Below are 16962 nucleotides of genomic sequence, written 5' to 3'. Positions count from 1 at the left end.
CATGAAAACCCAACTCTAAGGTAACAACAATATCTGTCTCCAGGATCATTTTTTGTCTGTGTTCAGACCTTAGGGGTGTTGCAGGAAGTCAAGGACCCTGAATGGAGGGACCAGCTGGAGCCACAGCAGAGGAATATAAATTGTGAAGATTTCATTTTGATATGGACATTTATCAGTTCCCCAAATTAATACTTTTATAATTTCTTATGCCTGTCTTTACTTCAATCTCTGAACATAAATTGTGAATATTTCATTTTAATATGGACATTTATCAGTTCCCAAAATTAATACTTTTATAATTTCTTATGCATCTCTTACCTTAATCTCTTAATCCTGTTATCTTTGTAAGCTGAGGATGTATGTCCCTCAGGACCACTACTGTGTTAACTGTACAAATTGATTATAAAACATGTGTGTTTGAACAATATGAAATCAGTGCACCTTGAAATAGAACAGAGTAACAGCGATTTTCAGGGAACAAGAGAAGACAACCATAAGGTCTGACTGCTTGTGGGATCGGGCAGAATACAGCCATATTTTTCTTCTTGCAGAGAGCCTATAAATGGATGTGCAAGTAGGGAAGATATTGCTGAAGTCTTTTCCTAGCAAGGAATATTAATAATTAAGACCCTGGGAAAGGAATGCGTTCCTAGGGGGAGGTCTATAAACAGTCGCACTGGGAGAGTCTGCCTTATGCGGTTGAGATAAGGACTGAAATACACCCTGGCCTCCTGCAGTACCCTCAGGCTTACTAGGATTGGGAAACCCCGCCCTGGTAAATTTGAGGTCAGACCAGTTCTCTGCTCTAGAACCCTGTTTTCTGTTGTTTAAGATGTTTATCAAGACAATACATGCACCGCTGAACATAGACCCTTTTCAGTCATTCTGCTTTTGCTCTTTGTCTTGTGATGTTTGTTTTTGCCCTTTGCCTTGTGATCTTTGTTCTCCTTTTTGCCCTTTGAAGCATGTGATCTTTGTACCTACTCCCTGTTCTTACACCCCCTCCCCTTTTGAAACCCTTAATAAAAACTTGCTGGCTTTAAGGCTCAGGTGGGCATCACAGTCCTACCGATATGTGATGTCACCCCCAGCGGCCCAGCTGTAAAATTCCTCTCTTTGTACTCTTTTTATTTCTCAGCTGGCCAACACTTATGGAAAATAGAACCTATGCTGAAATATTGGGGGCTGGTTCCTCTGATACAGGGGTTTGTTAGCATTATAGCATTTAAGTTCTTTATGAACTTCTACTGAATTAACATATATTTGGAAATGAGCTGTTAACATGAACAAAAACCAGCAGAAACGATAAAATAATCCAGTGTGATTTTTAAAAGGGAAATGCTAGCAAGTTTTAGTAATTTAGCACTAAGTAATTTTTGTAGAGTAAATAACCATGGATCACAATTAATGTGCTTAAATTGTAGCACTGTAAACCATACTTCTACTATATTTTTTTTCATGTATAGAGACTAGGTATAATTAATTAATGTACCCAACTTTTCATTATGAAAAATTATAAACAGAAAAAAATTAGAAAGAATCTGGGTACCTTAAATTTTTGCTGGTATAATCCTTCATGTTTATATGTTAGTTGGGTATTGATTTTCCTTGCACACCATTTAGACAACCCCCTTCCACCCACACTCCCCAAGCCAAAAACAAACAAAAACAAAAACAAAAAAACCTCTCCTAGCTGTTTATTTTTAATGTTACTGAAGCAGTAGAAAAGTCTTGATTTCAGAGGACTCCCTTTTCTTCCATTTTTTCCTGATGAGTTTGCAAATCTGATCCTGATTGGTTTGGGGATAAAGAATGAAAGCATCACTCTCATTGTGTAAACAGAAGGCAGTCAGTGGAATAGAATCAAAGGGAAGAAAGCTGTTCCTCAGGATTTTTTATATATTAAAAATATTTAGAGCTCCATGTTCTTAATTCCTAAGTCATTATTAAGATTGCTTTTTAGTTGTTAAATTAGCTGTTACATCATTTTTTAAAACTACACAAGCAACACAAGACTACGTGTTCTAATTTTTAAAGAAAATCAAACAGTATGGAAGTCTCTGGCAAGAAAGTGATGGTCCTCCCTTCCCTACCCCTCTTCCCAGCCCATTTGTGTCCACAGAGGGCACATATTAATATTTTACATCTTGTACTATACATTCTCATATTCATATCTCTATGTTTTAATGAAAAAATTTCAAACAATTAGAAAGAATTTGTGTAATGTGAATTTTTCTTGACATTACTCCTCATGTTAATATATTGGCTGGGTATTAGTTTTACTTATACCCTATTTAAACACCCCCCTCCAAAACTCAATCTCTCTATCTTCCTACTAATGTTTATTATCTATCATCTATTATCTATTTATCTATCCACCTATCTATCCAGACATTACCTATCATCTACCTGTCTATTTATCTATCTGTATCTATCTATCATCTATCATCTATTATTTATCATTTATCTACTATCACTTATCTATCTATGATTATCATCTATTATATCTATCTATCATCCATCTACCTATTATCTATCATCTACCTATTATCTATCATCTGTGTGTCATCTGTCTTCCTATCCAGCTGCAGAGAGAAAACACCTTTGGTTTTAGTTTTTTATAAATACTATAACATGTTGTTCAGTGACATTTCACTTTGTAGTCAGTCTTGAAAACCTGCCTATGCCATTCCATCTAGACAGACCTGACGCATCCTCACTCTGTAGAGTAAGCCACACTGTTAATCCCCTGCTGCTGTATGTCCCAGCAATTTCCACTTTCCCACATCAGCAGTTCCTGCCTTTAGATCACTTCTGAGTCTTAGCACCTTATGTGAAAATGCTTCTCTCTTCACAACCACATTAAAAAAAACAATGCATACTCTTATCTAGCTCTGGAGGGTTTTTTTTATGTTAACCTTTTGTATCTACTTTGAATTTTTTGCTTACAATATGAGATGAGGATTTATTCTTATTTTTTTCCCTGTGGATATTCAATTTTCTCAATGTCATTCTTTCCCCCGTGGTTTTAAATATTGCTTTTATTTAGGGTGCATTGAATTTTGTACAGTACCTGCCAAGTTTTTCTACATCATCCACTGTCTCTGGCAAGGCAATACCCTTGGTTTCAGGCAAAAGCATCACAAGGCCACCACAGATGGATGCCAGGATACCTATGGAATAGGGGAAAGGTGTTACCGCTCCAGGAAGACACAGCTGGGCCCTCTCCCATGGGGCCTGCTCACTCTGAAGCCATCATGTTGCTCACTGGAGTAGCTCTCAACCACAGCAACCTCTGCATCCCAGATCAATGCCCCAGCTCTCCCTTACCACAGCTTCAAAGGTTCTCTCCCTTCCTCAAACCCTGAGTAGCACCACGGCCCCTGTATACCTGGCAGCCATGTGTTCACTCACACATCTCACAGTGATTGACTGAGTTCCTTCTTAGGGTCCAACACCCAAGGCCTCCTCTCCTGCATCACAGGGAAACAGAAGTGCTGGAGGGGAGTCCCCTCTGCGCCCGCTCACTGACACTCTCACTTACCTGCCCCTCTCCCTCCGATTCCTCCTGTTACCTTACAGTGGAAAGCTTGTCCTGGTGTCTACTCCGGGACCAGCCTTCTCCTAGGCCTGTCTCTTTGGGCTCCTCACTGTAGGGATCAACCCTTCCTCCAGTATCTTCAACCTATTGGGAGAAGCTTTCAAACACATTCAGACCTTTCCTGTTTGACCAGCCTTCTCTCAATCTCACCTCATCCTTCCATTACCATCCTTTCTTTTTCTGCTCTTTAGAGCCAAACTTCTTGAAAAGCCACCCTCCCCTATTTTCTCCACTTCTTTGTAGCCTAGTGGTGTGCTGGTAAATGCCTAACAACCCTCTTTGGGCAATCAAGCCCTGATTGGCAGCATCTGCCAATGTGCATGGTTTAAATGCTCCCACTGTGGGCCCTTCAGGCTACTGACACAACATCCCTGCCTGGGCCACTGGGAAGTGATGCAGGAGCCCCATCAATGGGGCTTCCACCATAAAGATGCAGCAGACACAATCTCAGGAGCACAGGTAATACTGAAGGTGTAGTAGCTGAATTAGGGACTGATGAGTGTTGGGCATTTATTGCCTCTATTTCTCATATATTTCATATTCTTTACTTTTTGATGATATCTGTGCTTGATGACTGGCTTACAAAATTCTTGAAAATGTAGCTGATATGGTTTGGCTCTGTCTATCCACCCAAATCTCATCTCGAATTGTAATCCCCACATGTTGAGGGAGGGACCTGGTGGGAGGTGACTGGATTGTTGGGGAGGTTTCCCCATGCTGTTCTCGTGATAGTGAGTGAGTTCCCATGAGATCTGATGGATTTATAAGTGGTAATTTTCCTTGCTCTTCTCTTACCTGCCACCATGTAGGACGTGCCTGCTTCCCCTTCCACCATGATTGTAAGTTTCCTGAGGCTTCCCCAGTCATGTGAAACTGTGAGTCAATTAAACCTCTTTTCTTTATAAATTACCCAGTCTTGGGCAGTTATTTATAGCAGTGGCAAACGAACTAATATGGTAGCAGTTGGCCCTGGTGAGTGGGAGGTGCCAGCACCAGCATAGGACCATGCTCCAGGTCCTGCCTCTGCCTGCCCTCCTCCAGACTCAGCCTATATTCTCCCTGGCTCTGCTCCAGTCAGGTTCCTTCTGCCTCTTGCTGGCCACCAGATCCACATGTGCTACTTTCAGTCCTTAGGTTGGACCTGGTCTCGTGCCCTCCTGCCTCGGGCTTCTCACTTGGTTTCCACTTCCTTGGCCACCTCCTCTCCTTCTGCCTAGGTCTGTCACTTTGCCACCCCTCAGGTCTCTGTCCTAGGCCTCCTGCTTTCCTCTTGCTTTGTCCTGATTTTCTGGGGGGCTTGGGCCACTCCCTCAGCTTCAACCATTCTCTACTGCCAGGTGGCTTCCAGCTCTTCATCCCAAGGCCACTCTTCCCTCCTGAGCTCAGCGGTGTTGAGCCTGCTGGTTTCTATTTCCACTTGAACTCTTCCAGGTGCCTCAAATTATGCACAGCGGACACAGAGCCCCATCACCCTGCAGACCCTCAGCCTTGCTGCTACAGTGCCTGTGCCACCTGCTTCTCCCCAGGCACCTGGGCTTCTCAGGTCACCATGCTTTCTCCCTGTGCCCATCAGTGATCCCATCTTGCCCAGCTGGCTTCTAAGATGTTTACTCAATCTGTCCACCCTCTCCATTCCCATTGCCATCCCTTTATTAGAAGAAGCCACTGTGATCTCCTGATGATGACATCCTTGAATTGTCACCCCCAACATCGTCCCTCCAACCCACTTGCATATCTACCATCAGAGGGACGATGCTGGGGGGTCCTTCCAACCCACTTGCATATCTGTGTTTCTACAATGCAAGGCCAGCTCTGTCCACCTCAGGGTGAAACTGTCCAGTCACTTTCCACTGCTGTGTGTATAAAGAGCAAAGCCTTGGCATGTCCTTGAGGCCCTTCCGGATCCAGTCCCTGCCCTGCCCTGGCACCACCTCTCTTCAGGCCCAGCTCACAACTGCACTCCATCCTCTAGCACCAGGTGCTTGAGGATGCGGCATCCTCTTGCTTTGAACTTTCCACTGCCTGGAGCACAGCCAGCCCCTCTTGGCCTAGACATTGCTTCCTTCCTCCCTGGCCTGCTCCCTTCCACTCAGGGGTCAAGGGTCCCTGTGACCTATTCTCATAGGAGCCTCTGCTTTCAGGGTCTCAGCAGTTATCACATTCTGTTGTCGCTGAGTTTTTAGAAATTCGGCTGTCTCCCCTCGCAGTCTCAGGCCCCGCCTGCCTGCCACTGGGCTGTGGGCTGCAGTCCTGAAGGTCATGTGTCTTGTCTCCTGGACTACTCTGTCTTTGCTGGACAGTAGCACTTTCTGCTTTTTCATGCTGACCACAGAATTAACACTCAGCTTGATGACCAAATCCCATACAATAATTTGAGGTGATCCTGTATTGAGGTCACTGGTGTCAAGTGGTAGAAGCCGACTCTTTGTCCCTCACACTGTCAAAGGACTTTTGCATGAAGCAGAAGGTCTGTCCTCATGGGCTCAGTATTTTCATTCAAATTTCAACTGCTGAACCATAAATGAAAAACATTCTCTACCAGAAGTAAGGAAGTGGAGATAGAGAAACGGTTGCGTGAGAAAGGGGCCAACCCGTATCCTTTACTGCAGAAGAGGGCACAGGGGAAGTGTGTGAAACCCAGGCAGGACCGTTGGAGCAGCCCTGGAGAAGTGGGACACTGAATTCCCCAAGGTCCCTCCTAGACTATGATTCTGTTCCTTCACAAGTCCTATGGAAGCTGGAGGTAGGAGGAGAGGTGCACTCGAGGGACCTGGAGGAGGTGATGGAATGTGTGCCCGGGATCCTGTGTCACCTGCTCCCTCCACATGGATTTTTAGCATCGGGCCAATGAAGATATGATATCCATAGAGAGAGAACACCAGAAATACAATTAGACATTAGGCTTATTTTTGTTATTTTTTATTATTTATTTATTTTAGAGATAGGTTCTTACCCTGTTGCCCAGGCTGGAGTGCAATGGCGTGACCATAGCTCACTGCAGCCTTGATCCTCCTGCCTCAGCATCCTGAGTAGCTTGGACTACAGGCACCCATGGATCACCACGCCTAGCTAATTTTTAAATTTTTGTCAAGGCAGTCTTGCTATGTTGCCCAAGCTGGTCTTGAACTCCTAGGCCCAAGCAGTCCTCCCATTTTGGTCTTACAGGTGTGAGCCACTGCACCTGGCCCTCATTTTTAAACATATTGAATATTTAATTTAGTCCCCTGAAAATTATTGGTTATGTTCTCCAATACCATAAGAGTTTCACAGCATTTAACTCAGAACCCAAAGAATGCTAATTGAACATTATTTATCAGCACCCTTTAATATAAAGTAAATTAAAACCATTCATTATAACTGAATTGGCTCTCAAAACTGAAATAGTTATTATAATAAGATGAAATTAATATCATAATTATCAATGAAATAGTTATTATAATAAGATAAATGACTATCATTATCATTATTGAACCTAACAATTATTATAGGTCTCTTTTAGTACAAAGAATGTAGATGAAGGCTCTTAAGAATAGCAAATGAGTTCTTACCAAAGATGATCAGAGGTAGTTCTAGCCACACGGCTGCTAGCCGAAAGAGCAGAAATGGGGCTATGATTCCCCCAAAATCACACAGACCTGAACAGAGCGAAACTCCGAAATTTCTGTTGAATGAAAAGTAATTTTAAGTGAAAACTATTTCAACAAGTGACTTCAAGATAATCAACATATTCAGACATATTAAAAAACCAAAGGAAGTGTGAAGATACTTTGCATTTTCTAACTTTGAAAACGACTACTCTCAGAACTCTAAGCAAAACATTTCCATTCTGCACGTTTCACAGTAAGGCTAGTGAGGAAGTCTCCAGCGTGGGTGGAGGGTGTTATCCATCAGCAACCCACTGCCCTGCCTGCTCTGGGTCACTTTGTGCTACTTTGGTTTCCTCATCTGAGGGAGAAGTGTGCCCAGGGAATGCTTCCTCAGCAGAGGAGGTTGATTTGCACTAATCCGTGCACACTGTTTCATTTCATCCTTCATAACCAGCTGCTCACCACTGCAATGCATGTAATGCAGTCAAAGAGAGGCCATAGTCTTGCAGCAGGTGATGCTGATGGATACAGATTTAACCCACAGTCTAAGCAAGGGCACCTAGAGGTCTTCTGGTTTCAAGTTAAGGGCCTTTCCTCAAAACCGTAACAGTGTGTGAAGATATTAATATGAGAAATACTTTTATCACAAAATGCAGCAGGCAGCAATGCAGAAAGCAGTGATAACTCAAAGCATATCTTCTTTACTAGCTGGATTCAGCCTAGGCTAATATATCACTGAGCTAAGGAAACGACTTCATAGTTTTTAACTAAATCAACTTAAAACGCTGGTCTACAGAGTTACTTAGGAGAAACTATAACGTTTGTTAGAATTACCGTAATGTTGTTGGGTACAATTCTGAATTTACCAAATAAACAATTTCAAAGGCCATGGTTATCCCTAGTCTTCCCAATGTAGCCACTGTGGTCCTCAACCATGCTATTCCTGCAAACACAGAAAGTTTGAAAGGGAGGAGTTAGGGGTCTGATTTCATTAACATTTTACAGAACAACAAAAAGTATTTGCTTAGTGGCCTCCAGTCTGAAGTCTTTGCCAATTTTAAGCACAAATGATAGAACTTTCTAATAATGTAACCAAATTTCAACAACAATGAAACTAGATGATAGCTAATATTTTAGAGCGCTAGATGCCTTTCTGAGCAGGTTGGATTATAGGAAGTACAATTCAAGAACCGTTTGTTGAGCATGAGCAGCCACTACATTGGAACATTGTTCCAGGCAATGACCTCCTAGAGAGCCAAAGCACACTGGCTTTTTGTCCAGGTGGTAGTTTCCAGTCATGCCTTTGAGCCACCACGTTCCCACAGCTGGTGCCCAGCTGTCCTTTCTGTGCATACCTTGCGGTGGTGACACAAGGAATAGCCGTTCCCAGCACACCTGGGGAGTTCCTCACGTGAGCTGACCTTGGTTTCTAGAGTGGAGCAAGCTTTGAGGACCAGGATCTTTGGAAGGGGACATCTATTCTGTGTGTTACCACTAAGGCAAATGTCACTCATTGTCTTCTTCATCCCCCATTGTACTACTTCCTTCAATAAACCATCCAGAAGGAGCCACATTCATCAATGCTAATTGGTTCGTCCATTTTAAAATGAACTGTTTTAGGACTGCTCTGGTTGTATGAAGAAATTTTCCTTTCCTCCCTACTAACTAGTGGGAAATGCCAAACATTCTATATTAAATATTTTCTTTCTTTTATGTTTTAAGGGCAGAGGAGTTAACCATTTTTACTCTAAAAAGTCACTGCTCTAGCTTTCCTAGAAGTTGTGCAATTGATGTCATCCTTTCCTAGGGGATTTGGTATTGAGGACATATGTCTGCATGAACAAGACCATATCTGCTCTCCAAAGCAAAACGAAGCATGTCCAGTGTTCATGTGCCTTTCATTTTCCCTTTATATCCAACACATATGTTCATTTAGCACTAAATAGTCCTCCTGTTTCCTAGGGGAATTATTGAACCTTCCTGAATATATAATTTTTTAGTAGAAATGAATGAGGAGGATGAAAGAAGAGAATCAAGCCCAGTAGACTTCTGTGTGTTCTCTCTAGAGAATAGCCAAGTCAAAAAAAAAAAAAAAAGCTAAAATTCATTAAATAAAACAATTGCCCAGGAGCACAGGTGTAAGGAAAAGATGGCTCAAGAATCCAAACCATTTCTGGGAGTCTGAAGTTTACATATTTTGACTGCAAACTGGCCAAGGACATCCTGGTGCACTTGATGTTTTTCCCACATGAGAACCCTTGTAGCTGTCACGTTAACGGTTATATCAGGCAGTGAGGAGGCCAGGGTTGTGCTGATGTGCTGGGCCACTGTCTGCTCTGGAGCAGAAGGTTTGTCAACATGTGTTATTTAGGCTTTGCTTCTTTATGAAGACCAAGAAAAGGGGGGAGTGGAGACTAGGTAATGCATTCCACTCCATCTTTCAATGAGCATGTGGTACTGGAAGGGGAAAGTGGGAGCAGAGACTCAGATTCCCTGGGTCCCAGCCCGATGGGACCATCTCCTGCCACTCCCGGGCTGCAGTGAAGGCTGCCTGCTACCTAGGAAACAGCTTCACTATCCAGGTTGGGTTCTTCCATTGTATGTTTCTTTTCACTAAATCAAGATTGCTCTAAAATTGAGTCCCACCGACAAATTCAAGGGCAATTTGGGTTTATAACCGAGGCAAGGTGTTTCATGGAAAAATCCAAACAAAAGCCAGAGACCAAATTAAAACACACACACACACTCCACCATGATAAACATATGTGGTTAACTCAGATAAATAGCCAGTCAATTCAGTAAAACATTCAGAAAATGCCAAGTTGCCCCATTTGTGGAGATGTGGTCTGTCCGGAACATTGACCTTAATCTGAAAGACTCCCAACTCTTTTCCAAGCAGTAGAGTCCAGTATCAAACTATACTGGAACAGAGATTTTGTTGAAATGTGTAACCAAAGAAAAGTTTCTAAGGCATTGCATGGTTCATTAACTAAAGAGTGAAAAGAAAACTGTAGGAAGTATGAATAAATATATACACACAAAGAAATTCTTGATTCCAGTAATAAGCTAAATTCATTTTGAGGTGGCCATAGACATCTTTTGGTAGCAATGACAAAAACCACAGGGCAATTTAAAAATGAGTACTGAAACTAAAATTGTCTTCCATGGAATTACATGAGAACAAAGAAAATGTTTTCTTCTGAATGTGGATTTGGTCAAGCTACTAGAGATGATTGGGAATAATACCTCAATTCCTGAAGAAAGGATGCAGGACTTAAACAAAACTTTATATGTCCTCTGAATGGATCATCTACTCTGAGTTCTGAAATAAAGTTTAGTGAGAAATTCTAGTAGAAATGTCTAAATTAAGATACATGAACTCACTTTTCAATTAAAGAAAAATAAAAGTGGAAGACAAGTTTTCCAGTTCAAGAAGACGACTTATCCAAACTGCTAGGTTTGTGGTCATCCTAAATAAACTCAAATTAAAGATGGCAGACAGGTATGGATAAAGAAAGGTCTTTATTTTCCAGACATTAATGAGTGTTAAGAAATTTGGACTAGAAGCAGTGAGTCTGAGATGAGAATACAACCAGAACTACTATTTCTTCTTCCAGAATTCCATTCTTTAGACCATGAAAAGTTGGGTCGAGTGGAGGGAAAGCTGATTAAAGTGTTTGCTGTGAGACTATTTTAGAGCTGGTTTCTCCAAAAGCTCATCTGTATTCTCCCCAGGGGCTGGCGACCTACTACTGACGTCAGGAATGGCTGAGCAGAAAAGCCTTTCTCGTGCTAATTAACCAGTGGCTGGAATCAAGTCCAATGGGTCTTTAAATTGGAAGGACTCAAGGGAGGATCGTCTGTTAATATTTGGAACTCAGTTTAGGGATTTGAAATGTATTCTTGCCAGTCAGTCATGACTGACATATGACTATAAAAGCAGCCAAGTCTGCAGAAGGTAAAAATAAAATGTGTCTAGAATAAGAGCAATTCATTTTCAGTCTTGCTGAGAACAATTCTAAAGCTTCAATCAGGAAATTATATCTATAAAATAAAACTGGTTAGACAAGGGAGAACAGTCTGTTCTTGGTGTTATATTTTCCAATATATGAAAGAATTCTCTACAAAATAGTTATATGACTATCCGGCTAGTTACTTCTGTCTTGATTTGGACACACAGCCTTGAATGCTTTCTGGGGTCATTCTGAATGCAACAAACATTAAAGTCATCCCAATCAATCTAGGACCAGAGAAAATCTTATAGAGTAAAGTATATATATATATCATGAAATGAGGGGACACACCGAAGCATGCATCTTTCTCGCTGCATTTCTAATTTCATATACAATGAATATTTCATTCATTCCTAGTCCACATACGATGAGAACAGAAGACTTCATCTCAGGGAGCTACAGTTGTATGTTATATCCAAAGTACCAAAGTAAAATAGAACAGTAACGTCTCCAATGTTTGCGATTTTTCACTCTTCTTAAATTATACAATTTTGAGGGCAGGAATTATGTCTATTTTGTTCACCTCTCCATTCCCCTCCTAGTTCAGTGGCTGGCAATTAGTCGATACTAAATAGATACGTATTAAGAGATAGCTATTGTACAGATCCTCCAACTCTTATAATATGTTAATTCCATGTAGTGGGTTGAACAGTGTCTCCCAAAATTCATGTCTACCTGGAACCTCAAGGCTACTACATTTGGAAATAAGGTCTTTGCAGATGTAATTAGTCAAGGTGACACTGACACAAGCAGAGAAGAGAATGTCCTGTGAATATGGAGGCAGAGATAGGAGTGACACCAAGGAGCTGCAAGGATTGCCAGAGAGAGGCATGAAGAGACCCTTCCCCAGAACCTCTGGACATAAGCACCCTTGGATGCCTTGATTCTAGACTCCCAGCCTCCACACCCCTGAGAGCATAAATGTCTGTTGTTTCAAGCCGGTGAGTTTGTGGTACTTATTACAGCAGCCCTGGGAAGCGAATGCACTCAAGGAAAACAAGAGAAATGTAAATAGGTGGTTGCTGTTCATCATCAAACATTCCAACATGTCAGGGGACTTGTACATTGTGTGTGTGTGTGTGTGTGTGTGTGTATGTGTGTGTGTGTGTGTTCCGAATATTGGCATTCCTGTAATTTTATTCAAATAGGGCCTACCTCGTGTTTTAAGAATTCATAAACCTTCATTTAATTAATAAACTCATCTGTAAATGTCTGACTGTTCTGACTCCCACTATATTGTCCATTTCTTGGCTGGTCCTCAGAGGATTCTCAAAGAAAGACAGCCTTTTTTGTGCAGACACAAAGGATGCCTGGAGAATCCAGCTTTCTCTGTAATCCCCACTTTGCCTTTCCTGGAAGAGGGGAATGATGAACTTGCTCTACTTCACACATCCCCTGGGATGTGAAGCCCTCCTCCTCCCAGTTCCTGGTGTGTTCTAGGGTAAGGATCTTCTGGGTGCTGCTCACCACACATCAGGAGTCACGGCACCCTCTGCTTCCTTCTGGCCTGCACCCCATCTACCAGGCATGGAGCTCTGAAAAATTTAACTCTGCAACATCTCTGAAATGAAATGACCCTCTCTCATCTAGGTCTGACTGCCCCAATTGTAACTCCTGCTCTCAGCATCTCCCCCTGCTCATAGCCATCTCTAAACTGCTGCAGTTATGCCAAACTCACTCCTCCTCCTCCGCAAGCTCACAGGACCACCTGCAGGGCTGGTCATGCTGGTGACAGATCATCTCTCAGGCTCCTTGTCTGGATTCCAGTCACAGCAATGAACCCTCAGTTCCTGCATGCACAAAGGTGTTTCATACTTCTGGAAACTCTTCTCTAGTTTGGAAACGTCCGTCCTCTCTCTCCCTGATATCTGGCACATTTGAGTCTTCACGCATGTTTAGTTCCCACTGCTGGGAAGCTTTTCTTGAATCCCCTTCTGGATTGATCACTCCTCCCCAATCTATTTTTTTATATTTCTAAATCTTGTAAATAGTTTAATTAGTTTCTAAATCTCACAAATAATTCATGACAATAAGAATCGTGACAATATTAAAGTATCTGTATCCCTTAATAGATTGTGAACCATTCGAAGTCAAGACTGCGTTCTTCTATGTGTAACCTCAGCGTTTAGCATGGTGCCAGCAGCATGGCAGAGGTTCAGGAAATAAGTTAAACATCAGAGATATCACAAAAGTAAGTCACATAAAGATGAGTAACAGAAACCACATCGCTATCAGCTAGATTGGGCACAATATCTATTTCATTCATAAATGATCCTAGCAATTGAGAAAAGAGAATCATCTACAGAACCAATCTCTTACTTCGAAGTTTTTATGCTGATTAAGCAGAAAATGGAGTGACATCACGAAAGACTGTGATTCCATTGCACATTTCCTAAGAACAAGTGGCTCCCTATACTTGATTGTGGATTTAGGTGTTTTCAAGTCCTTTGGCTGCCAAACAGATGTGGGGTAAGATTACCTTCTGGTAAGAACGCAGTGACAAGGCATGCCACCCCTGCCACTATATTGCTTGCCGCAAAGGGGAGGCGTCGTCCAAGGCGCTCAATGGTTAGTAAGATCAAGAGAGCTCCTGGCAGTTCCACCACGCCCGAGATGAAAAAGTCTATATAGAGGTTGCCCCCTATAATTCCCAGGCGCATGACAAGTCCTTGATACACCACTGCGCTTGTGAACCTGTAGCAACATTGAAAGACACCAGAGAACAAGTAAGAGATAACTTCAAGCTGATTTGAAGGAAGGGATGTATTGTAAATTTAACGCAAGCTTTTAAATCCATCACAAGTCAAACTTACCAAGCAAACATAAGAATAAGTGTGCATTTCCTCATTTGGGGAGTTCTCACCAGATCTAAAAAGGATGGATTACTAACTTCCTCATCTGTAACAGTGATCTATATAAGAAAAGCAGATTTCAGTAGCAATAGACAGAAAAAAAAAAAACCTGCATAGTATAGACTTGTCATTAACCAGAATCAAATGATCTTACTGAAGTGACTAGGGGCTTTCATAATATCTTAAAACCTGACAATTAAAACACTTCTGCTCTTGCATTTAGAACACATCAAATTCACAAAGATAGGATTGCTGCACTGAGAATCTGTTCTTAGGATAATTTCAGTACTTTATGTTAAACTGCTCTGTATGTTCTAAATACATATGCACATTTATTACATTGGGGGAAATGAGAGTCAGGGTGGGTGAAGCAAGTGGGATCCAACCAATTAAGGGTTTCTTTATAAACTAAATCCTCAAATCTGACTTTCACAAACAAAATAGAGTAATGTTAAGTTTAAGAGTAAGCACCAAAGGTATTATTTTGCTTTTGCCCATTTATTGTAATCTAACATCTTTTTGATCCAGAAAAATTCAGCTCATCTCTAGCTGGCCATCCAAGAAACTGGTCTTTTCAATTCAATTCAACAAATACTGCTATTGGCCAACTACATACAAAACACTGAAAAAAGCGAAGCTGGAGAGGACACCCCCCAATCCCCACATCCTGCCTCCAGTCTAACATGCGGAAGCATCAGAGCATGATACCCTGCAGTGACCGCAGCTCCAGTTTCCTGTGCTTGTCAGTCTCTTACCTCTGCATGGAGGGCTCTTTGACCTCCTCAGTCCTGATTTTACCTCCCCTGGGAAGCCTTTCCTAGCCTCAGATAGAACTGATGGCTCCCAAATTCTGCCTCTACTCCCCGGACCTCTATCCTAGCACCTGTACAACAGCACTCCCCTGTGGGTCTGGAGCTCTTGGAAGGCGGGAGTGCATTGTCACACCAAGCAAAGTGCCTGGTGTTCAACAACTGTTTGTGTAATGACTGAGTGCTGAAACAAGAAGTCAAGTGCCCTGGTCATATCTGTTCCTCAGTGTCGTCCTGGGTTTCTCTCCTCCTATTAAACAAAAATGCTGGCTACTAAGGACAAGACCGATGCTATCTATTTGTACAACTCCAGATTTGGCCCAGATTGAATGAAAATCTAGGCACATTTTCCCCAAAGCTTTGAGCTAAAGTCTCTCTACCAGTAATCACAGGAATTTGACTTAGAGCATACACACACTGATAGTACCTTGTCAATCACAGATTCTAAACAGTAAATTCAATAGATCAACCAAAGCTTGATATCTTATGCCTATCTTTGCTCCAAGGAAAGTCACACACACACAAAAGTAGACTGCAAAATGAATGCCTTTGGTCACTTTCTTTTCCAAAGTCTTCACAATCCTGTATTTCTTCTATACCAAGACACATTGGTTTTCTACATTTTAACATCTCTTAATTGGAAGGTGTCCTACAACTGAGCTGGTAAGAAAGAAATGTGTCCCAGTTTAAACAACATGGTTTCCTTTACTTAGTGGTACATAAAATGACTATGTGTCTTAAAATCAATAGTGTCTAGAGTCAACAAAACAATAGTTTCCATGACAATCGCCGTGGAAGACTGCTGATGGATTCCACCATCCATGCTTCCCTTCCCTCTTTTGAGAATACGTAGAATTTTAGTTGGGCATATGGCAGCCTAGTGACAGTCATTTTTTCTATCCTCTTTTTCAACTGTGAGTGGCACTGTGATTAAGACCTCAGCAATGAGGTGGTTGTAGGGGTCATGTGTATAAGTTCTAGGTCTCTGCATTTAAAAAGGTAATAACTTGCTGGAAGAAGATGCTGGTGAGCTTCAACCATACCACCTGTGTAGGCGATGGTGGAGATGCAAGATAAATGGAACTCATGGAGTAGAGCTGCCTCACTAGAGCTTGGCTGCTCACCTCTGTGTGCGTGTGCTAGAGAGAAAGACACTTTTATCTTTTTCATCACTGTATTTTTGGGGCCTTGTTTCATTAGCAAGTTGACCTGGATCTTAACTAATATAATGTCTATTAAGATGACCCCTGAGCTAACCTTCTAAATTTGAAGACCCCAGTGAGGGATTTTTCTGTGTCTACCTTAACCTTTGCTGCTCAAAAAACAAGACAGGAATATCAAAAGTGAAAGATAGGAACTCCATAGATTACAAATATATATTATGGTATAGTTTGTTGCCAAAATGTTTTCTACAATTCATTTCTATGTGTTAATACATTAAAATGGCTAGTGTTTATGGAGTGTGTGATATTAGATTCTAGACTAAGCACTTTACGTGGATTATTTTAAGTCTCATCAAAGCTCTATAAAGTTAGTACTTCTGTTAATCTTATTCTATAAATAAGGAAAACAAGGCTTAGGACTTTCAGGAGTGAATAGTACACAGGTAAATCAGCCAGGAATTGAAACCAGGCAACTGATTGGTGGAGCCTGTGTTCCTGATCCCCACACAGCACTGCTGAATATATTTCATTCTAGAAACATTCTTGATAGTTGATGGCCACATCTAAATATTTTTAAAGAAAGACACTGTGCACTTGACCTAAAACTGAATCTTTAATTAAAACATTGTTTTATGAAAAAAATTTGACTAGATAATTTAGATTTTAAAGATCTTTAAATTCAGGATTAAAACCACCCATCCTGCAAGGACAATGTTCCTCCATGAAAGTATCACCACCAACTCGTTGCCATGAGTTTTTCCTTTTACTGAGGGCTTTTCCACAACTCAGACTTGGGGCTGCCGGGCAGTGTCAGTCTCAGACTCTTCTCTCTCCAGGGATTCCCTGACAGGATCCCTTGTCTACATATCAATACCACTGTCCATTCAGCACACACAGGTGGCAATACTTTTTTCTTTGCTTTTCAAAAGAAATATTC

At 41.6% G+C, this 16962-nt stretch overlaps 1 protein-coding gene across 7 annotated transcripts in view; it reads right to left on the bottom strand.

The window, feature by feature from the left end:
* SLC22A3 (solute carrier family 22 member 3) overlaps positions 1-16962 on the bottom strand; it is a 104200-nt gene that overhangs the window by 1686 nt on the left and 85552 nt on the right. For 5 of the 7 annotated variants that reach the window (XM_005267106.6, NM_021977.4, XM_011536076.4 and 2 more), the window contains exons 6-10: positions 14015-14112; positions 13681-13895; positions 8023-8131; positions 7150-7262; positions 3074-3173 (exon numbers count right to left, since the gene is read on the bottom strand). In XM_005267106.6, the coding sequence (XP_005267163.1) occupies positions 3074-3173; positions 7150-7262; positions 8023-8131; positions 13681-13895; positions 14015-14112 (635 nt within the window). Of the gene's footprint in view, positions 1-3073; positions 3174-7149; positions 7263-8022; positions 8132-13680; positions 13896-14014; positions 14113-16962 lie in introns of those variants that run through there. The other 2 variants (XM_047419262.1, XM_047419261.1) reach the window with 2 other exon arrangements.

Source organism: Homo sapiens, chromosome 6, assembly GCF_000001405.40.
Source record: "Homo sapiens chromosome 6, GRCh38.p14 Primary Assembly".
In the NCBI taxonomy this organism is placed as follows: Eukaryota; Metazoa; Chordata; class Mammalia; order Primates; family Hominidae; genus Homo; species Homo sapiens.
The sequence above is the reverse complement of the archived record's forward strand: the minus strand, read 5'-3'. Positions and strand labels throughout refer to the sequence as shown.